At 34.0% G+C, this 24,243-nt stretch overlaps 1 long non-coding RNA gene across 1 annotated transcript in view; it reads right to left on the bottom strand.

Annotated features, from left to right (window-relative positions):
* The window catches only part of LOC105373896 (uncharacterized), an 86,007-nt gene extending 78,006 nt beyond the window's left edge, over positions 1 to 8,001 (bottom strand). The window contains exon 1 of the long non-coding RNA XR_001739890.2: positions 7,907 to 8,001. This is a non-coding gene — a long non-coding RNA (uncharacterized LOC105373896). The remainder of the gene's footprint in view (positions 1 to 7,906) is intronic.
* Between the last annotated feature and the right edge of the window lie 16,242 nt (positions 8,002 to 24,243).

The raw sequence follows: 24,243 nt of genomic DNA, 5'->3' as shown, positions 1-24,243 counted from the left end.
ACCGTCCTGAGTCCATCTTATGCTCACCTCCATGTCCAGCTGTCTTCTCAGTATCCTTATCTCTTCTGACATCTCTGATGCAAAGGGAGAAGTCCTCCCTACTTGCAGTGCTTTCTAGCTTTCTGTTTCTTTGTGTTTATAATCACTATGAAACTCTAATATGCCACAGTATATTTCTGGTATTTTGAGGTCAAATTGAAGAGTAAGAGTTAATGCAAAATGTTAATTAGATGACCTTTCAGAAGGCTTGATGGGATGTACAATACATTCTCCATTGTTTTTGCTTTAGTTGAAGATCAGTCAATTTTTTGTTTAGTAACCTGAACAGGCATGAAACTTCATTTTTGCCACGTCATGATTTTTTAGTCATTAGCTATGGTCTGATTATTGGACTTACTTGACATTATGCCTTGTCTTGAGATTTTCATTGATTTTTTTTTCAAAGAAACCAGAAGCTCTTTCCATATTTTCTTTACAGTAGGCCTGAAGTATAAGAGCACACTTTTGAGAAATATCAATATTCATAAAGGTGCTGATAGAACATCTCTATCTCATTTTTTATTGTTATAGACAAAAAAAGGAAGCCAAAGTAATAGACCAATATTGAATTTAGAGAGATTTGTGGTATTTTAAAAAACCAAGCTGATGATTAAATAAGAAATAGTGTTGACCTGAGAAGAAAAATTCACTAGTGGGTAACCTTAAAGTAGATTATTTTAAAAATGCATATAAGCATTACTCTTCACATAAAAATATGCCACAATAAAATACGATGAAGCTCCCACCATTACACTGATCACATAGGACAAGATGATTACTATACTTCTGGAAAGTGGTTGAGCCCAAGGAAAATGTACAGTTTTTAGACATTATATCAAATTATAATGAACACTAAATTGGTCCCTAAAGAAGAACAGAGATTATAAGAAGTATGCATAGATAGGAGGGAACAGAGCTCAATGCTTGGCCTTGGCAAATGTTGGGGGTTTGGGGACTGACTTTGAGTTTCAGACCCAAGGAATCACCTGAAAGGAGCTGTTCTGTTTCCATCAGACTGTTTTCCTGGGTCACTGCAAAGCCCTTAGCTCCCGTAGCTGCTGGGTGGAGGTTGAAGGAACTCTAGGAAATCTGACGGGCTAGATTCTGTGGAGGGCTGCCCTCACTATTGACTTTTCCTGGATGGTTCTGACCAGTCTTGCCAATCGATGCACTAGTCCAGTTTTGAAGTTGGAGAGAGAAAACTCTCATTTTTTTGTAATAACTTGTTTCTCCACTTTCTTAATATCATTCTACAAATAATTTCTAAAACATATTATTTTCTAAGCACTTTTAACAAAATGTCATTATTTCTACCTTAAAATGTATAGCATTTTCCTATATCTTTTCTTGTGACCCATCTTTTCTTGTGACCCATCCTCCTGGCTTCTATCTTTACTGGATTTGCAATCTCTAATGGGATCTTGCCTAGAATGTCAGGTATAGATCAATGACAGCTACCCAAGAAATACGATGGCTGATGGTTCACAAGACCTTTTGGCTGGAAAGAAAATTTTCACAGATGGTACCACACACACATACATCCCCCTCTCCACAGGCACTAGTACTTCTTAATATGTCAGCTAATGTATTTATTAGAATAAAAATATAAATATATCATCTGTCTTATCACTATTCCTCTTTGTCCCTTAATTTCTGCCACTTTTATTAGCCCCTCCAAATATGGATATACTAATATATATGAAATACATATTATGGATATAATGCAAATAATAATATATATGAAATACATAATACCATATATATTAGTATATTCATTATATGTGAAATACATAACTTCACATGAAATATGAAATAATTATATATATAGTATGTGAAATGTAAAGGAGTTACATTTTCTCAGATATATCTGTATTGGTATCTATATATCTATATTTATATCAATATTAATATAATCCAGAGTCAATATTGTACAATGTTCTAAAAGCAAATGTACCACCTATCAGGCTTTTAGCGGATAAGTAGTGTTTCTTTCTTTTTTTTTTCTTTTTTTTTTTTTTTTTTTGAGACGGGGTTTCACTCTGTCACCCAGGCTGTACTGCAGTGGCACGATCTCAGCTCACAGCAGCCTCTGCCTCCTGGGTTTGAGTTCAAGCAATTCTCCCACCTTAGCCTCCCGAGTAGCTGGGGTTACAGGGGCATGCCACCACGCCTGACTAATTTTTGTATTTTTAGTAGAGACGGGGTTTCATCATGTTGGCCAGGCTGCTCTCGAACTTCTGACCTCAGGTGATCCACCCGCCTCGGCCTCCCAAAGTGTAGGATTGCAGGCATGAGCCACCGTAGTTGGCCAATGTTTCTTCACTCTGTTGAAGTTGCCAAATCCTTTGAGCACAAGCTCAGTGGCAATATTTGACAGTTTAGGATTTATGCATTCCCTAGACTGCACAACTTGGCAATGGAAGCAGCCAGTTGCGAAGAGCCACAAACTACTTACCTTTCTCTTGCGCAAAGTCTTAAAAGTGAGCAGATCTTGTTTAGGCCAAATAAAAAGTTAATACAACTTTGAAAGCTACATTAATGGGAAGAGAAGAGGACAGACAGAAAAGAGGAGGTGGGGTAGAGAAAGAAAAAGGAAAAGAGGATATTGAGAGAGAAGTAAAGAATCACCATTCTGTCCTCAGAAGGGTGCACAATCATGCCTTTCTGAGCACAATTGGAGAGAATTGGGTAAGAAGGAACAACAAACAGAAAAATAATAGCCTGAAGAAAAAACCGACTTTTCAAATGTGTAACTTACCTAATGAAATGTAATACTTTCATCCTTTCTATTAAAAATCACAGATGTGTATACATCTGCCTGGAATAACATACGGGACTCGTTTAGTGAAACCATTTGTTCTCCTTCTGAAAAAGTCTATAGCAATTCCGTATTTCATCTGAAAGCCTAGCTGCCTATTGATTTCAAGAGTAGCTTCTAGGGAGGCCCTCTATGTGATTTGAGGACTGATGAGGAATCCATATGTCATGACAGTTCAGACAACAAAAAAAAAAAAAGGAAAAAGGCTGACTGTAATTCTTTCTCTACTATAATTGTCGGTGAGTTTACAGTTAGTATACTAGACTAAATGATATAATTTGTAAACATGGTGAGTAACGGTTGTGATCTCAGGCCCCAAGGCCAACACAGTTTGTATTACAAGCTGACATTTCCAAATCCTTTAGAATTTAGCCTTTGGTTGCCCCATAGGAGTAAAAAAACCATAAACCTTTTGGAATCCATTGATTGGCCACACTGAGATAAACACACAACTTTCTGAAACAGAAGAAACTGTTTATTTAAAGCCACTTTATTATTTCCACTAAAGAAAAATGGAAAACATTTAAAATATAGAGCATTTTAAAGGATTAAGTGGTGCTGATGTGTGTATGGACTTGCTAGCCCTGAATTGAAGTCTCAACTTTCAGATTCTTCTCCACCCACATAAAGTGGGGCATCTGGCAAGGTTCTACCCAAGTGGGGAACACATCCTTCTTTATACTGTGATTGCATGTTATGGGTGTGTAGTAAATTAAAGCTCAAGCACAACAAGGAAAACTAGCACCCAAAAGAGCATGGCTAGTGCAAATATGGGAAATAGGGTTTTGCTAAATCTGAAAAGTATATTGCAAAGAGAAGGAGCTTGACCTCTTCAGTATGCATAAGGATCACCTAACAGCTTGCTAAAATGTGGACTTCAAACTCAGTAGCTTCAAACTTCAGTAGGCTTTGGGTAGGGTCTAAGAATCCACAGTTTTTTGTAAGCATTGCTAGTAATGCTGCTGGTTAATGAATCACACTGAAAAATACTTGAAAAGACCATTTTGATATGCATCATTCAAAAACACACATATGGAAGTTTCTATGTAAAATTTCTTTCAATTATTTATTTATTTATTACCTATGATTAATCTACTTATGTGCAAATTAGTAGAAAAGATTTACTCAAATGATGAGAAATCTTTATTTTCTTAAAATACATTTCAAGATAGTTTACAATGTTCAGAAACTATTAGGTGAACCAAGAAAATAAAAATGAGTAAAACTATGAAAATTGTCACTATCAACTTAATAAAGATTGCCAACATGGCATGTAAAATTTCTTTCAATTATTTATTTATTTATTACCTATGATTAATCTACTTATGTGCAAATTAGTAGAAAAGATTTACTCAAATGATGAGAAATCTTTATTTTCTTAAAATACATTTCAAGATAGTTTACAATGTTCAGAAACTATTAGGTGAACCAAGAAAATAAAAATGAATAAAACTATGAAAATTGTCACTATTAACTTAATAAAGATTGCCAACATGGCATTTTTCCGGTAAAATAGTGAGCAATAGTTGCTTGAATATGGATTCTTTTTTGGCTCTGAATCAACATTTTAAATTGTTTTGCATGTGGAAAAATTTCATATGCTAAATTGCAAGTAAATAGGTCTATTTGTTTATTGGCTCATGTATATACATGAGCATGAGTGTCCTTAGATTTGTAGCTAATGCAGGACTAATGGTGATTACAATGTGTCTCTTAGAAATTAGAGGAGGAAGAAGAGAAGGAGAGGGAAGAGGCAGAGGAGAGGAAGGAGGAAAAGAAATCAAACTAACCTCCTCACACTCAATTTACTCTTATTTTGTGGTGTCCAGTCTCCAAGACGATACCCAGTGATCTCTGCCTCCTGGTGTTTATGCCATTGTGTAGTTCCTTCCCATGTTGTATCAGTGGTGGGTTTAGGTAACAAACAGAACATGGCAGAAGTGATGGTTTGATGCCTCTGAGTCAGGGTTATGAAAGACACTGTGGTTTCTGCCTTGCTTTTTCTGAGAGTTATGGGGGGAAGCCAGAGGCAGTGTCTTGAAGACACTTAGGTAGCCTTCCAGAAAGGCCCATGTGGCAAGGAGTTGAGACCTCTAGACAACTGTCACGTGAGTTAACCAGCCCCAGTCAACCCTTGAAATGACTGTAGCCCTGGCTGACATCTTCACTGCAACTCTAAGAGAACCATCCAGCCAGAAGCACCAGCAGCTCTCATTTCCCTGACCCTTAGAAACTGTGTGTTATAATAAATATTTCTTATTTTAACCTTAAGCTTTGAAGTAATTTCTTTATGAAACAATAGAAAAAATAATACAATTTTCATTTAAAGTTGCTATGTAAAATGTCTGTGATGGGGCTCTCAAACCATCTGCCATTTGACCTTGTGATGTTCTAGTGTTTAAAAAAAGGAAAAAGAGAAGGGAACTCACTTCATAAAATTTAGCATGTTTGTTCATTACCAACGGCTAATATATTTTGATACTCCAAGAAGAGAGAAAATTAATAAATAAATTTTCTTTTGTACCATATTGCATAGAAAGTGTCAACATACTCCTTTTAAGTAAGAATACTTAACATTATGTGAAATTAAAGGCAAAACCACAGTCTTTGATAGAATTTTGTCTTGTTAATCACAAATCTAACTCTGTAACAGTCTCAAAAATAATATAAATATTAATTGCTTGTAATTTCACACCCATTCTTAATCATATGATTTTGAGTGAGGGGAAAAGATCACAAACAACAGATACTTCATCACCCTTCAATCTTGGAATTATACTACAATTCCTCATTTTTAATAAGTTCACTTTAAGAAATAGCTAACATATTTTCTACATCATCTTAGACTCTAGTTTGAAATTAAAGAACAGATGATCCCCAACAAGAAAAGATTATAACATTTTGTTTAATCTTATAGCTTCGTGTTCCCAAATAGTCTTTTTGTGTGTGTGTGCCAGACAGTAGGTGCAGGACAGTGGGTGCAGCGCACCGTGCACGAGCCAAAGCAGGGCAAGGTATTGCCTCACCTGGGAAGCGCGAGGGGTCAGGGAATTCCCTTTCCTAGTCAAAGAAAGGGGTGACAGATGGCACCTGGAAAATCAGGTCACTCCCACGGTAATACTGCGCTTTTCTAACGGGCTTAAAAAACGGAACACCAAATAGTCTTACTAATATCTATAAATACATTTTTTATTTACAAAACATGTGGGGAAATTTGTTATGATCTTGATTATACTCAGTGAATCTTCAAAATTAGTTTGAAGTGTCACCAAATGTAACTCACATAAAAATATAGTTTTAATTTTGAACAAGTCATGTATTGCTGATGGATAGCCATAAAATGTATATTAAAATGTGGTGTAATGGTAATACCCTTTTTAAGAAGAAATTGAACCTCATCAAGGCAATTGAATCTATGAAGGTAACTTGTAACTAAAAATTAGGTGATTTAAAATATTGTAAAAACTAAGGTCAAATTTGGCAGACCTATGAGATGGGCAAAGGGTGCCCTACCTGCCCTTCCTTTCATGATACCTACACACCTGGAATTTTAGATTTCGAAAACCTTTCTCTTTAAAATATAATTTTCCTGTTCTCATAGGTTTTTATATTCTGCTACCAGACAACTATCTTAACAACTGAAGTAACTTAGACTGTTCTCATAAATACATTTAATGTGGATGCTACTTCCCTGACTCCTTCAAATTAAGGGTGTTTTGGGGAGCCAGATATCCTGAGGCCTTATTATTTGTAACATATATGCAGTTACTTATTTCATATGAATAAGCACAGGCCTACTAAAATGTTTTTCCAAATTATATATCTAAGTTGGAAACACCAATTAAATATTGATTGGCTGTTTTGATATTTTAGGCAAAACTGGGAGGACTATTTTTTTTTTTTTTTTTTTTTTGAGATGGAGTCTCCCTCTGTCACCCAGGTTGAAGTGTAATGGCACGATCTCGGCTCACTGCAACCTCTGCCTCCAGTGTTCAAGTGATTCTTCTGCCTCAGGCTCCCAAGTAGCTGGGATTAGAGGTGCTCGCCAACATGCCCGGCTACATTTTGTATTTTTAGTAAAGATGGGGTTTCGCCACATTAACCAGGCAGGTCTGGAACTCCTGACCTCAGGTTATCCACCTGCCTTGGCCTCTCAAAGTGCTGAGATTACAGGCATGAACCACCATGCCCAGCCCCCTGAAAAGACTATTTCTATAAGAATATTTAAAGGTTATCAATAGACATTTTATAATAGAGTTATTAACACCAGTTTCTATAGCATTAGAATACCAATGGCTTGGTAAATGTTCAAGGAAAACATCCGACGACGAAATCAAGAAAGCCAGTGTTTTCATATATAATTCATAAATATATATATATATATCAGACACATGTATATTATATTAAACAGATATGTGTGTGTGTATATATATATATAATTTCAATAGGTAGTAACAAATAATTTATTTAACATTACTAATTGAGTTATTAAATTACAGTCAATACTGAAATGAATAGTGTAGAAAATTTTAAGTCTTGTGAAATTTTAAGGGCAACACAATCAAACTGTTGAACCATTATTACATTATTTTATAAAATAATTTGGCCACGATGTAAACATAAACTCAGATGTTACAAATCATAACACTGCCGTTTTTAAAACTTCATAAAGGCTTTCCATCTTACTTGGAATAAAATCCACACTCCTTGCCATAGCTTACACAGACCCATATGATCTGGCCCGCCTCACCTCATGACCTTCTCTAGTAACACTCACTTCCCCTTCCAATACTCCAGCCACGTTTGTCTTATTTTCTGTCCCTAGAACACACCGTACATATTCCTCCTCAGAGCACTTTGGATTTGATGTTTTTAACAAGGTACCACTGCTGCCTTTATTTACTGGATTTGCAATCTCTAATAGGGTTTTCCTCAGAATTCCAGGTACTGATCAAGTAGTAGCAACTGAAAAAACAAAACAAAACAAAAATACTTTTTTAAGAGCAAACTTAATGATTCCAATATCTATTAGCAAAGAAGTAAACTTACAAGTTTTGAGTGGTGATCATGGCTTATTCTACTAGTGGATTCTGTCTGTCTCTCTCTCTCCTGCTCTCTCTCTTTCTCTGTTCTGCCAGCAGTAACCTGATAGAAAAACCAGACAATGACATTATAAGAATAGTACAGTATGGACTAAATATCCTAAAAAAAGATGCAAAAATTATTCACAAAAATTTGGCAAATTAAATTCAACATGATTAGTGGGGTTTATCCCTTGAATTCAAGGCTGGTTTAACATTTGAGAATAAGTATATGCAATTTACCATATTAAACTACATTTCAGGCTAGCTGTGGTAGCTCATGCCTGTAATCTCAGCACTTTGGGAGACTGAGGTGGGAAGATTGCTTGAGCCTAGGTGCTCAAGACCAGCCTAGAGAACAGAGCAAAAACCTACTCTACAAAAAATTTAAAAACTAGGGGGATATGGTGGCATGTCCCTATAGTCTCAGATACTCTAGAGGCTGAGGTGGGAGGATAGCTTGAGCCCAAGAGGTCAAGACTGAATGCTTTCCTACTAAGATTGGGAATAAGGCAAGAATGATGATTCTCACCAATCATTTTCAACATTGAACAGGAGGTCATAGGAAGTAGCAATAAGACAAGGAAAAGAAATAAAAGGCCACAGATTGGAAAGGAAAAAATAAAATCGTCTCTAAATGCAGATGACATAATTGTCTATAATTCCAAAGACTATGAAAAGGCTATTGAACTAATAAGAGAGCTTAGTAAGGTGGTAGGATACAAGGTCAACAGACAAAAATCAGTTGTATTACTGTATACTGTATGTTAGCACTGCATAATCAGAAGTAAGTTTTAAAAATACCACTTACAACAGCATAAAAATGCAAAATTCTGTACAGTAAAAACTACAAAGATTTGCTGAGTGAAATCAAAGAACACTTAATCAAACAGAGGGATTACCCTGGTAGCTCACGAATCACAGGTGTCAGTTCTCACTAATTGATGTACAGGTTCAGTGCAGTTTTAATCAAAATTCCGCAGGCTTTTTGGGTCATACTTGGCAAACTGATTCTAATTTATATTAAAATGCAAACGACTAGACTAGTAAAAATAATTTTGAAAAAGAAAAACAAATTTGGATTAATTCATGCCATAAATAAATTGTAGTTTCTACAGGTTAGTCAGAGATATTTCTGCTATAAATTTCCACCAATAAAACATGCCATCAATTATGTGTGTGTATATATAAAGGCTGGTAAAAAATAGCATGCTAATAAATGCAAAGCCACACAATCCCTAGAAGATAGCACGGGAGGAAATCTAGGTGACTTTGGGTTTGGTGATGACTTTTTAGATGCAACACCAAAAGTACAATCCATGAAAGAAAAAAATCAATAAGTTGCACTTCGTTAAAATTAAAAACTTCTGCTCTACAAAAGACATTACGACAATTAAAAGACAAGCCACAGATTTGGAGAAAATTTTTGCAGAGCACATTTTATAAAGGACTAGTATTCAACATATACAAAGAACTCTTAAAACTCTACAATAAGAAAACAACCAACCTACTTTAAAAAAAAAATGGGCAAAAGATTTAAACAGAAATTTCACCAAAGAAGATGTATGGATGCAGATAAGCACATGAAAAGATGTTCAGCATCATATGTCATTAGTGGATTGCAAATTAAAACAACAGTGAGATACCACTATGCATCTATTAGAATGGCTAAAATCCAAAACATTAACAAGAAATGTTCTTCTGGAACAAAAAAGAATTCTCATCAATGGTGATAGGAATGTTAAATAGTACCACCACTTTGTAATTCCGTTTGGCAGTTTCTTACCAAATTAAATGAACACTTAATCATATTATCCAGCAATTACACTCCTTGGTATCTAACCAAATAAGTTGAAAACTTCTGTTCACACAAAAACCTGCACATAGATGTTTATAGCAGCTTTATTCATAATTGCCCAAACTTGAAAGAACCAAGATGGCCTTCAACAGGTAAGTGCATAAACTAATTGTGCTACATATGTACAATAAGATACTCTTCAGCAATGATAAGAAATGAGCAATCAAGCTACAAAAAGACATGGAGAAACTTTAAATGTATATTGCCAAGTGAAAGACACCATTCTAAAAAGGCTACGTAGTATGTATTCAAGCTTTATGACATTCTGGAAAAGGCAAAACTATGGAGACAATAAAAAGATCAGCGTTTGAAAGGGACTCCAGGGGAGGGAAGGAGGGATGCATAAGTGGAGTGCAGGGGATTTGGGGGATAGTGAAACTATTCTGTATGATCCTGTAGTGGTAGATACATGCCACTATACATTTGCCAAAACCCGTGGAATGTATAATGTAAAGAGTGAACCCTAATGTGAAATATAGACTTTAGTTAATAAAAATGTATCAATATTGACATCAATTGTAACACATGTAATACACTAATGCAAGATATTAATTATAGGGGAAACTATTGAGGGAGCAGTGAGAGAATAAGTAGGAGCTCTGTAGTTTCAGTTAATTTTATCTGCAAACTGAAACTTCTCTAAAATATAAAAAATAATTACAGAGACAGGAAAAAACATGCTGCTGTCATGGTGACTTACTAGAAAAAATAAGGTAAACACATAGGGTGTTAAAAGGGAGCTTGAAAATTTGGAAGGAGCCTGCATTCTCAAAAGAGTCTTGAAATAAATTTAAACCCTTTGGAGGTGATAGTAAAGACAGAGAGCTAAGAGAAATTGCTGTTCCCATAAAACTCAATGTCTAAAATGTGCTTTTGATGAAATAAGCACTAAGTCTATTTTATAGATGTTACCTTCATTTAATAATATATAGTTCCACATTTAAATAAGGATTATCTGAAGATATTATAATTCCTATACTAAAAGGGGCTTTACATATATTATCTCCAAATCTCATACAAGAAGTTAGTACCACTCCATTTCATAAAGAAGAAAACATAGATTTTAGGTTAGATCGACCCAGATTTGAAACCTACTAGCTGGGTCGCTCTAACCTAAAATCTATACTTTTCTTTAAAGAATAAATGGAAATTTCAGGAGCCATGAAAGCCAAGTTGTGGAGAAATATTTGGGGGCAGGTGAAGTTTCTCCAAATCCACAAGATAATAATCGCATTGTCGAAAGTATGTTGGGTAGCAGGAATAACTTCCAAATAAGCTGAAGGCTAATGTTTGGTCATAGAAAAATGATATCATTGGATAATAGAATTAATTCCTAAATGAGAAAACTAAGGTCCTTTCCAATATTCGGCTGTCTTATTTGATGAGACTTATAATTTCCCCTAATAACCATTTTCCCCCTTTTTCTTTTGTGAAAAGAGCCAACCTAGTCTTCACAGAGGTATGTGGCTGCTCTTCCAGAGACTACATTTCCCAGCCTTCCTTGCAGCATATGCTGTCATGTGACTTAGTTCTGGACGGTGAATGAGTAAAACTGATGTGTGACCCTTTTGGGTCACGTTCTTGAAAGCAAGATGCTTACTCTCTGCCTCCTTCATCTGCTGGAATGTAGATGTGTGCTGGTCATGAAGTATGGTAGGAGCGAGCCAGCTTTGGCCATTCTCATGAGAATAGACAAGTAAAATTGGAGGAACCTGAGGCAGTGGATGGCCTTACAAAGCAAAGATGCTCCACATGCCTAGACCACCCATCAACTCACAGTTTACATGAGAGAGAAATAAATCTTCTACCTTGCTCAAGCCACTTTCATTTAGTTTTTGTTAAGGCAGCCAAAACAATCCTGAAATTAATACCTCCTAAGTCTGATTTTAGTGTTGTCACCCTTGGATATTTATTACACTTAAATATTTACCCTGTTCACTAATTTATCAAAATATATTCATTCCTTTTTATATGAATGAACAAGATGGATATTTTCAATCGGTATTGATATAGCTTAATTAGGAAGTTTTGATCTCAGGTCCATAGACTACAGTTGATATACTATAAATTGAGTATTCCTTATTCTAAACACTTAGAACCAGAAGTGTTTTGGATTTTGATTTTTTTCGGATTTTGGAATATTTGCAAATACATCATGAGATAGCTTGGAGATGGGACTCAAGTGTAAACACTAAATTCACTTATATTTTATGTACATCTTATACATGTAGCCTAAAGATTATTTTATACAATATTTTAAAATAATTTTAGGCATGAAACAAAAGTTTGTGTTAAGTACTTACGTGTGAAATCTATTTCTGGCATTATGGTGGCACCCCAAAAGTTTCGGATTTTGGAGCACTTCAAGTTTCAGGTTTTCACATTAGGGATGTTCAATCTGTATTACTGTTCTCATAAATCTAATTGACTAAAACTTACGAGAGATTCAATTTCAACTTTCACAGACAGCATTTATATATGCTACGTGAAAAGCACATCATTATTGTTGGTTTATTTACTGTTAGGTTGGGTAAGAATCAGTTGAATTGGTTTAGCCTACCTTGACAGATTCTTCCTCACTCTTCTGACTTACTGGAAACCAGTCCAGTCAATAAAAACAATTTCTCCAATGCAACCAGTTGAAAAATGTCTGTTAATTTCTGAAATATCTTGAACTGAGACTAGAGGTAAGAAAGAGGTAATCAGGGGATTTGGAACGAGTTTATTGGACCCAAATTCATGTTGTAGTGAGGATATTTATCACAGCTGTAATTATAGGATACTTTTTTTTAATATAGCCTCAGAACTTGCTTCATCAAAAGCATTTTCTGTTTTTTAGTATCATGCTAAATCTGACTAGATCATTTTATTTATCTCTAGGCTCTCTCTCTGCTTATTGCCAGCATAGAGGGTAAGGGTTTGCTTTTAATTCAACTATTCCCAAATGGAACACTTGCTGAAGTTAAAAATGAATATGTCCTCATTTTCTTGCATGGTTAACACTAAGTAAACTTAGGTAACATTTTGATAAATATAATTCTTTTGAGTGATGCACCAGATAGGTCACCCACTAGGAATCTAATTTTACTCTCATTAATTAATATGCTTTTGAATTATTTGCAGTGTTATCCATACACATTCAAACCAATATTGGACATTTCAATTAGCTAGAAGAGATTGCCATGTCTTATTTATTCAACAACTAATTTTTTTCCAAGGTGAATGGAAGTAGAGGCTAATCAAAATATTATTTGAAGGTTCCCTGTTTCAGTCTCCTTCTGGTCTATTAGATGTTTTAAATGTCTTGACTCACAAGTTCAGTTAAAATATTTCATCTTAGATATTTCCCTTCAACTTCCCTATCCCCATCCCAATCTTATCTTATTTCCTTTTAGAATCTGGAAATTTTCTCTTTCTTTCTTTCTTTCTTTCTTTCTTTCTTTCTTTCTTTCTTTCTTTCTTTCTTTCTTTGTTTCTTTTCTTTCTTTTCTTTCTTTCTTTCTTTCTTTCTTTTCTTTCTTTCTTCTTTTTTTTTTTTTTTTTTTTTTTTTTTTTTCCGTATTCCTTGGTCCTGCTGCGTTCTTTAGGTTGGTCTAGATCACCTAGATTTCTTCACTTCAGTACTTCAGTTTAATAAGAAATACACGTGTCCTTTTCTGATTCCTAGCTTCCACTAAACTAAAATTAGTGTAGTGCTTTGAGATTGGGGCCCATTGTTAAAACACCATGTTTGTAACAGCTTACTCCTCCTACACTGAAGTAACTAAATTGCACAATTTTCAACTATAGGCACACTGATTTTATTGAGTAATCAAAAAGTAGATACAAGAGAGACATAACTGGTTGCTACATTGAAAAGCAGAAATACAGTGAAATCTTAAAATGGTTATAAAATGAATGTGAGAGGCAGTATTGCACAGTGGACACTGTAACCAGTCCCTCCACACCGCTCTGTGTCTCAGGTTTTGCTTGTTAAAATTTTGATTAAATACAAAATAACATTTATAAGTAATCACAAGGTATGAGAGTGATACAGCATTCATTCTTCAATGTACTATTCACTTATCTAGTTCAAGAAAGTAAAAAACTTGGTCTGTGAAGCTCCTTACGTGCCCTGCCTGAATCCCATCTTTCTCCCTCTCTCAAGAAGTTACTTTATCTTGAATTTTAGAAACTTAATATCACAGGCTCTCTATTTTTTTGTTCTTAACCTATAAAATGAATATAATAGAGAATTCAATAACCCCATCAAATATATGGTTAAATACTAAATATAGTATTTAATAGGGTTTTGGATAGTAATAGATTAGTTTTTATTCTAGGTGTTACAGGTAAAACACCTGGCATTTGACTTAGCAGATAAATCAATGAAAATGGCCATTGTGACAACAGTGATAGTAATGATGGATAAGCTTAATACTGTCATGTTTACTGTTGCTTTTGTTCATCTTTATGTTCAACAAAACATCAGACTACTTGTCAGTTTCCTTTAAGGCATCCTGAAAACACAAGACTTACCTATTTTTTTAAGGTAGATAACTTCTGCTACACCAATGAAAGACTCCTATAAGAATACATACATATTGAGGGAGGAAATCTTGGGATCCAGGAACTTTGGGAAACCAAGATCTCTTGTGAGTTTATAGAAAAATCAACTGGATTCTGCAGAAATTTTTTATTCATCACAAATTTGTTTCAAACATTTCAAAATTTGTGAGCCACGCTTTCAACCTAAGGTGATGTTTTAAATCTGTGGATAATATTAGCACACTTGTGGTTGAGATTTCATTGCATTTACCTCTCCTTTGTGCTCACCCAGAAAACAATTATTTTCAATAATGCTTCTGTCTCTTGAACTGGAAATTATACAATCATAATCAAAGTGCTCAAAATGACCAACTCATATATTAATCTGACAAAGCCAAAGAAAATCATTTTAAAGGGCTATGGAATATGAAACTATACAGATGAGAGAACAATTGTATTCATGCAACTCCTTTGGTTGGAAAAATTATGCTTTGGGCATGAGTCAGAAAATGATTTTAAAAAGCATTCAAATGTCACTTGTGGTCAATTTCATTGCCTCTAGATAAAAATCACACACATCACCATATCTTAGAGAATAGTGACTCTTTATCGCTTTTCAAAAATCTCCATGTAACACACATTCATAAAACTACACACATCATAGGCCTAAATTTGGATGAATTTTCAGAAGGTGAATACCTCCAAGTTACCATTCACTCAGATCAAGAAACAAACATCTTCAGCACTGTACTGACTGTTTTTAAATATGCATTTCTGATCATGTTTCTCTTGCTGAGCAAGAAGGTAAAAATCAAAACCTCTGTCTATAATGCTTGGATTAAAAAAAAAGATTAAGTCAAATAATCTCTTGCCATACCAGCTGATAAATCTGATCAATCACAGCTGATTTACTATTGAAAATGATGGCCTTTTACCAGGCATTTATATTGATGGAGAAAGTTGGATCAAATGCACAAAGATGATCAATTTTTTATTGATTTATGTGTACACAGGGCCAGCCAGTAAGTATCATAGAATATCATACTTGTCATTGCCTTGAGATTTGGTTTTGTATCTATAATGAGGCCAAAATATAATTTCATGCCTTGGCCAAAGAATGAATATTTGGCCACCTTTCTTTGAGTCAGTCTGTTTCTCTCTCTCTCCCTCTCTCTCTCTCAGATTTATGTTCATGGGTAAAGTTGTATTTGATGGATAACCTCTTCCTCTTTTTCATCAAATTTAGGTGGTAAAAAGTACATTTAGTAGAATAATATCAACCCACATAAAAATCTGATTATTGTGAGTTTCATTTTAAAGAAAGGTTTTACAAATTCATTTAAAATATGGGTTATCTTTTTTTCTCTTTAAATATGGTTTTTGGCCAGGCACAGTGGCCCATGCCTATAATCCCAGCCCTTTGGGAGGCCGAGGCAGGAAGATCACTTCAGGTCAGGAGTTCACTTCAGGTCAGGAGTTCAAGACCAGCCTGGCCAACATGGTGAAACCCTGTCTCTACTAAAACTACAAAAAATTAGCTGGGCGTGGTGGCACCCACCTGTAATCCCAGCTACTTGGGAGGCTGAGGCAGAAGAATCGCTTGAGCCCGGGAGACGGAGGTTACAGTGAGCCGAGATCACGCACTGCACTCCAGCCTGGATGACAGAGCAAGACTCCATCTCTGAATTAATAAATAAATAAAATAAATATGGCTTTTGTTATATGTGGTATATGAAATCTTTTGTAAAGCGACTTTGAGAAATCCTTTTGTTAAGCTATCCTGAAACAAGCATTTGGATGTTGTTGCCTGGTAGTCATCTCGTGGCACAAAAGGATCTAACAGAGAAGCAGCTCATGTGAATGAAAAGTGTCTTTAAATTTATATATATATTCTAGCTCCAGCTTCAGAAAGCATGGACAGTTGTTCGCCTCTGTTCAAGAGAAGAATAAGGATTAGCCCATTTTGGCTGAAAAGTGTCAGTAGCATCCATGAAAATATAACTTTTTCTATGCCTGTTGAATTCTAAAGACAGATGAAAGGTGGGATCAGGAAGCCAAAAAGGGGGCATTTTTTCTTCATCTCAACAAGAGTATTACGCTTGGTAAGCAGAGATGGATAGAGACAGAGATAGAGATAAAGGAACGATAGAGAGATACAGAGAGAGAGAAAATTAAGAGCAGTTAAAATCAGTGTATTTCTTCATACCCTCTCTCCAGATATATTTAAATAGCAGGCCGTTTGTCTGTTATTAAGAACATTACATGCCCTTCATTTAATAAAATATCCTTCCTATGGCAAACATTAAAAAACCAACAATTAGTACAAAATGCAGATTCATAGTATGAAAATGTATTGCAAACCTTAAACATAATTTTTTAAAGCTATAAAAATAGCTATTTCAAATATTAAAATATGGATATTCATATATACTGTTCATATAATACGATGAATAAACATGCATATTGTATAATTTGTAAATATGTGGTATATGGAGGTCTCCATTTTTAATTTTCTATTATACAGCTAATGAAAAATTAAATGTTCAGTTTGGTTTAACAAAACTGAACATTACAAACATGTTTTCGATAAATAGTGAGTTCCATTCTATCTTACGTCCCTAGATTCCATGCCACTTCTCAGAAGTAGCAATTATCAAGAGTTGTCAAGGCCTGTCTTCACAAAATCTTTCCATGAAATTATGGAACATATGCTTATATAATCAACATAGTGGGTTTAGGTCACAGTCCATAAATTAACATATGCAGGAAATATTGTACTTATTTCCCTAGAACCAACTAAATATCAACATATAGCTTCCAGCCAACTAGGAAATTCAAATTAAGTCATCCTCTGCAAAGGGATGTTTAATAAAGCTAAAAACCTCCTTCTGTTAACCTCTTTCAGACTCCCCAGTTCCCTGTCCAGCATCAGAATATGAGTTCCCAATTCTAACAGGACCCATAAACATCTCCTCCTTCCTAAGAGTCTGTTTTATAAATGTGGTCCATTATATTACCATGCTTACATTTTATTAATCATTTTTAAGATCTGCTAATACCCTTAATATGTAAAGAAGTCTTACAAACTAGTATGAAAATAATACTTATAAATCAATATAAAAATTGTGCAAGTCAATATAAAAAAGATAATTTCAAAAAATTAAAAATGGCCAATGCACACACAAAATCAGCCTATTACTAGTTTTCAAAGAACTGTAAGAAGATGCCTGTTCCCTATTAAATTTTGCAAAGATTAAAATAATCTCATTAACTTGTGTGAATGAGGTTACATAGATATAGTTATAGCGTGCACTTTAGTTGAGAATATGTATTCATACAATCTTTATGAAGAGCGGCTGGCTAGATGACAATAACATGTAGAAATTTGTCCTGAGGAATAATCATGGTTAACCATAAAAATATTTGTTAAGAAAGGTATTTTTAAAAGAAAAAAGCCTAACAATCAATGATTAGTTAAATTATTATATAAAGTAATACAATAAGTTTAATTAAAACCTGTTTTTATAAACTATTAATATAAAAATATTCAAGACAGGATTTTTTAAAAAGAGCTTTTAATACAAGTTTTATAAAATACATATTTGTGCTAAGAATAAGGTAGACAAATAACAGGACGTTAATAATATGCTAAGTATTCATATATTTTGAAATTTTCTCTATTTTTCAAATTCTCTTAAAAGATTTATATATTTCTCTGTCATTATGGGAACAAAAAACCTTCAAATCACAGTGAAACCACACAATTATTCTTGTAAATAAATGAACATAGGTTTTAGATCACTTTTATATTTAGTTAAAGTAATTAAGTACACAGGTTCAAAAATATTATTATCTGCCTCCCTCCCATACTTCTTGTTGTTGTTGTTGTTGAGATGGAGTCTCACTCTGTGGCCCAGGCTGGAGGGCAGTGGTGCGATCTCGGCTCACTGCAAGCTCCTCCTCCTGGGTTCACGCCATTCTCCTGCCTCAGCCTCCTAAGAAGCTGGGACTACAGGCGCCGCCTCCACGCCTGGCTAATGTTTTTTGTATTTTTAGTAGAGATGGGGTTTCACCATGTTAGCCAGAATGGTCTCGATCTCTTGACCTCGTGATCCGCCCGCCTTGGCCTCCCAAAGCGCTGGGGTTACAGGCGTGAGCCACTGCGCCCGGCCGCCTCCCTCCCATGCTACTTCTTGCCATCAAATCCCATTCTCTAGGAGTAAACGCTTATAACTCTGTTAACTTTTTTTTTCTGATACTTATTTTCACTTGTCTAGATAATATGCTTCAACCCGTTGGTCTTGTTTATTGATTTTAACATATTTATATTGCTATCTTCTGTTTACTTAAAAGATTCCAGTGTAGATCTATCTCTAAGTTATTTTGTTGATAAGATTTGAAATATTAGGTATTTTACTATGGCAATTAATATCTTTATTTTCTTTTTTACTACACCTCACTTTACAAAATGAGGTTTGTAGTAAAGCCTAATTATCTTTAGCTCTCTAACTACTCTCCCTCAATATCTTTTCAACTTCTAGTATCAGAATTTTTTTCTTTTGCACTATCAAGGTTAATTATATTGTATTTTTTTCGTATAAATGTAGTCCTATTTTTTATACTTTTTATAAAATTATCTTTAAAAGTTTAAAATAAACAAATATATTTTATAAATAAATCAATAAAAATGTTTCATTATTTTGACAATATAAATATTTCATAACAGAGCTAGTCTTCCATTTTTGTTTCCTTTATTTTCATTTGATTTTATTCCTTCTTGTGTAGCTTTCAGTTTTCCCTGGAGTCTCTAATTGCCTTTCTATTCATTTTTTCCTAATTTGCCTTTGTATTGTGCTGTCATTCTTCTCATTTATTATATAATAAAATAATACGAAATTCAATGTAAAGGACAATGTATATAGAATCAATATTAGAGTCATTCTTATGTATTTTTCCTTTTTTATTTCGTATTTTCTCTAATTTTGCCAGCAGAGATAGACTGCCAGGAGAAGACTCTGGTTTCTTGCTTTAGGGACTGAATTTTCCTGGAAGATACTTTCCATCTCCACAAAATTGCTTACAAAAACTAAATTTACTGTGGACTTAGTTTTATGTTTCTAATAAAAGAAAAAACGAGTGCATATGGAAAAAAATATGAGGAAAGATTATTCGTATGTTAATGGAACCTCTAAATGTATATTTTTAAAAAACAGATAAGCCTCATATCCTGCCGCCTCAGAGGCCTCTGTAGAGCAATAATAAAGAGTCCTAAAATCATTTAAAAACATAATGAATAATTTTTTTTACAAAGAGATGGTCTGTATGATAGGAGTGATCAGAACATATTTCTACAGAGCTGATGGAACAGTAGAAATTGCTAAAGCAGTACATGGAAAACCACAGAGACAGATAAATCCAAAGAATGAGCCAATTTACCTTGCAGAAAACAGAAAAGAGACACAAAGCTGAGGAGGAAAATAGAAAGCAGAAAAATAAAGATGTGAGAGCGGCATTGGGCTGAAACTAGGGGGATGAATTGAAAGTCTGTGTATGGAGGGCTCTCCCTCCCACTACACCCTATTTTTTTTTTTTTTTTTTCAGAGAACGTCTTCAGCTATAGAAAAATATTTTAAAATTTCCTTCTCTAAAAATTGAAAATATTCTAGAGGAAAGACTTCACACTTTGACAGACTATCATTATTAAAGAATAATATTACCCATATAGACAGACGATAAACAAATTTTTTTTTTTTTTGAGACGAAGTCTCGCTCTGTCACGCAGGTTAGAGTGCAGTGGTGCAATCTTGGGTCACTACAACCTCTGTCTCTTGGGTTCAAGTGATTCTCCTGCCTCAGCCTCCCAAGCAGCTGGGACTACAGGCACCCGCCACCACGCCCGGCTAATTTTCGTATTTTTAGTAGAGATAGGGTTTCACCATTTGGCCAGGATGGTTTTGATCTCTTGATCTTGCGATCTGCCCTCCTCAGCCTCCTAAAGTGCTGGGATTACAGGCGGGAGCCACCGCGCCTGGCCTATAAACAACTTTTTATTGTCTCACTCTGAAATATTTGAGGAAGCCCTCCTACAAAAAAAAAAAAACAACAACAACAACAATACAATTCTTATCATAGATAAACAGAATTACAACCACCAGCCCTATAGGAAAAGGAAATAACAGAAGGACTAGAAGAAAACAAACAAAAACTCTAAAAAGCACATGCATATTTTAAAGTTCAAAGATATTGATAAGGCGCTCTCCAAAGAAGTAATAGAAAATTAGGGTTCTATAGAAAGTTTATAAGAGTATGTATTTTCTCATGCAGTTATTGACAAACTTTTGAATGTTTGACAATTTAAGTAAAATATAACATCTTTTTCTATTATATTTACTAAATTACTTGTAACATTGACAATCTTTTTATAGTTTATTTGCCACTTGCCTTTCTATTAACTATCTTTTCATGTCTTTTTCATGTTTCCATTGCATTATTAAGGTAGCTATATTATTAGACTTACTATTGGGTAGAGTGACTTGTGCTTTACTAGCCCTAGCCAGGATTGCTTCAGCCACTCTAGGGCATTGGTTTTATATAATTTTAAAAATAAACTTACCTACATTTAAGAAATTCTTGCTGTGATTTTAATAGGAATTATATTAAATCTATAGATCAGTTTGGGCACAGTTGAACCTTCCAATCCACAAATATATTAGGTCTCTCAATTTATTTAGGTCTTCTTTTATTTCTTCTATCAGAAATTTGTAATTTCTAGCACACAGAACCCGTACATGTTTGTTAAGCATTCTTTGGATTTATTGTAAATTGTATTTTTTTATTTTAATTTCCTCATGTTCCATGTTATTATATAAAACTGTAATTGACTTTCGTGTGTTGCTCTTGGACCCTGTGATTTTGCCAAACTAACTTATTAGTTCTTTATCAAGTTGAAATAATTTTTCTTTATTTCTAATTTTCTGAGAGGTTTTATCAGGAATAAATGTCAGATTTTGTTAAATGCTTTTTCTGTATCAACTGATATTATCATATTATATAATTTTTCTTCTTTAGCTTATTGATATGATAGATTTCCTATGGATATTCAAATGTTCAAAGGAAATTTAAAGAATACATAGAGACTTATGTACCTGAAATAAATTCCACTTGGTCATAATGTATACTTTCATATATATATTATGTGTTATATGTGCTACTGTTTTCTTGAGGATTTAAGTTCATTTTGTTTTCTTTTTTTATACCATCTTTGTCTGTTTGGGGTATGAGTCTGAAACTGGCCTTATAAATTGCTGTGGGAAGTGTTCTCTCTATTTTCTGGAAAAGATTGTGTAAAATTTCTGTTAATTTTTAAATTTTGGTAGAAATCACCAGTGAAGAAATTTGAGTCTGGAAAATTTTTTAGAGGGCTTTTAAATTATAAATTACATTTCTTTAATGGTATATTAACAATTTAGATCATTTATTTCATCTAGATTGAGTTTTAGTTGCTTGTGGTTTTCAAGGAATTGGTCTATTTCTACTAAGTTGTCAAGTTCAATAGTGCAAAGTTGTTCATAGGATTCCCTTCAGATTCTTTTAATGACTGCATGATCTGTAATGATGTATTACATTTTATTTCTGATATTGGTGATTTATGTCTTCTCACTTTTATTTTCTTCAGCCTTCCTAGAGGTTGATCAATGTTATTGATTTTTAAAAAATAACCAGCTTTTTGTTTCATTGATGTTTTCTATTGTTTTCTTATGTTCAATTTCATTGATTTCTGCTCTTTATTTCCTTCTCCTGCTTGCTTTCAGTTTTTGTCCTTTTTCTAGTCTCTCTATGTAGTAACTTATAGTATTGATTTAAGACCTTTCTTCATTTCTAATGTAAGCACTGAGTGTGACAAGTTTCCCTCTCCACACTGCTTTGCTATGCACCAAATATTTTTATGTTTTATTTTCCTTTCCTTTTAGTCCAATGCATTTTTTTCCTTTCCTTTGAGACTTTCTCTTTGATCCTTTAATTATTTAGAAGGGTGATGTTTAATTTCCACATACTTAGGTATTTTACTGTGGTCTTTCCATTATTGACTACCTATTACATTATGGTTAGAGGATACACTCAATGTGATACCAATGCATTTAAATTGTTGACATTTGTTTTATGGTCAGATATGGTATGTATTGGTGAATGTTCCACGGCATTTGAAAAAATTATGTTTTTTGCTATTGTTGAGTGAAGTGTCCCAGGTGTGTCATTTAGATCCTGTTGGTTGATTGTATTTTTCAGAATTTCTGTATTCCTGCTGATTTGCATGTACTAATTCTATCAATTGCTGAAAACAGTGTTGAAGTCCCCAGTTATAATTGTGGAATTGTCTATTTCGTCTTTCATCTTTGAATTTTTGCTTCACATGTTTTGAGGCTCTGTTGTTCTGTGTGTACACAAATCAAATTGTAATCTCTTCTTGGTGGATTGATTCTTTTATCGTTACGTAACGTTTTATTTGTCTGTGGTAATTTTCTTTGCTCTGAAATCTTTTCATCTGATATTAATAGTGCCAATTCTGCTTGGGTTTTCTGATTGTTTAAAAGGTATTGTGTGTGTGTGTGTATGTGTGTGTGTTTCCATTTTCTTTTCCACCCTCCTATGTTATTGAATTTTAAGTGAATTTCTTGCAAATGGCATATACATGAACATGATTATGCTTTTTATCCACTCTGCCAATTTCCATCTTTTGAGTAGTGTGTTTAGACCGTTTATATTGAAGGTACTTATTACCATTTTAAAGCTTAAATTTACCATTTTATTATTTGTTTTCTGATTGTCTTGTCTGTTTCCTCATTCCTATGTCTGTCTTTCCTTGTCTTTTAGTGGGATCTTGAACATTTTGGAGATTCCATCTTGATTTATTTTTAGTGTTTCCTTGCAGTATATAACAGTGTATCTTTTGTATAATCTTTGTAGTTGTTGCTCTGGATCTCTGCTAATATGGATTTAGATATAAATGAAGATATCTCAATGTCGTACTACTCAAGTAAGTGTACAGGGATACTGGTCTGTAGTTTCCATTCCATTTAGGTCCCTTAACCTTTCTCACTTTTAAATATATGAGTTTTAATACAAAAGATAAATGGAACAAAAAGCTGGTTCTTTGAAAGGATAAATAAAATTGATAGACCATTAGCAAGATTAACCAAGAAAAGAAGAGAGAAGATCCAAATAAGCTTAATTAGTAACAAAACGGGAGATATTACAACCAATACCACAGAAATACAAACGATCATTCAAGACTACTATGAACACATTTATGCATATAAACTAGAAAACCTAGCAGAGATTAATAAATTCCTGGAAATATACACCCTTCTAGATTAAACCAGGAAGGATTAGAAACTCTGAACAGACCAATAACAGTGAGATTGAAATGTTAATTTAAAAAAATTGCCAAAAAAAGTCCAGGACCAGATGGATTCACAGTTGAATCCTATCAGACATTCAAAGATGAATTGATACCAATTCTATTTACACAATTTCCAAGATAAAGAGGGAATCCTCCCTAAATCATTTTATGAAGCCAGTATCACCCTAATACCAAAACTAAGAAAGGACAAAACAAAAAACTACAGACCAATATCCCTGATGAATATAGATGCATAAATCCCTAACACAAAACTAGCTAACCAAATCCAACAGCATATCAAAAAGACAATCCACCATGATCAAGTGGTTTTCATACGAGAGATGCAGGGATGGTTTAACATATGAAGTCAATAAATGTGATATACCACATAAACAGAATTAAAAACAAAAATCACATGATCATCTCAATAGACACAGAAAAAGCATTTGACAAAATCTAGCATCCCTTTTTGATTAAAATCCTCAGCAAAATCAGCATAGAAGGGACACTCCTTAATGTA

Source organism: Homo sapiens, chromosome 2 (genome assembly GCF_000001405.40).
Source record: "Homo sapiens chromosome 2, GRCh38.p14 Primary Assembly".
Lineage (NCBI taxonomy): Eukaryota > Metazoa > Chordata > Mammalia > Primates > Hominidae > Homo > Homo sapiens.
The sequence above is the reverse complement of the archived record's forward strand: the minus strand, read 5'-3'. Positions and strand labels throughout refer to the sequence as shown.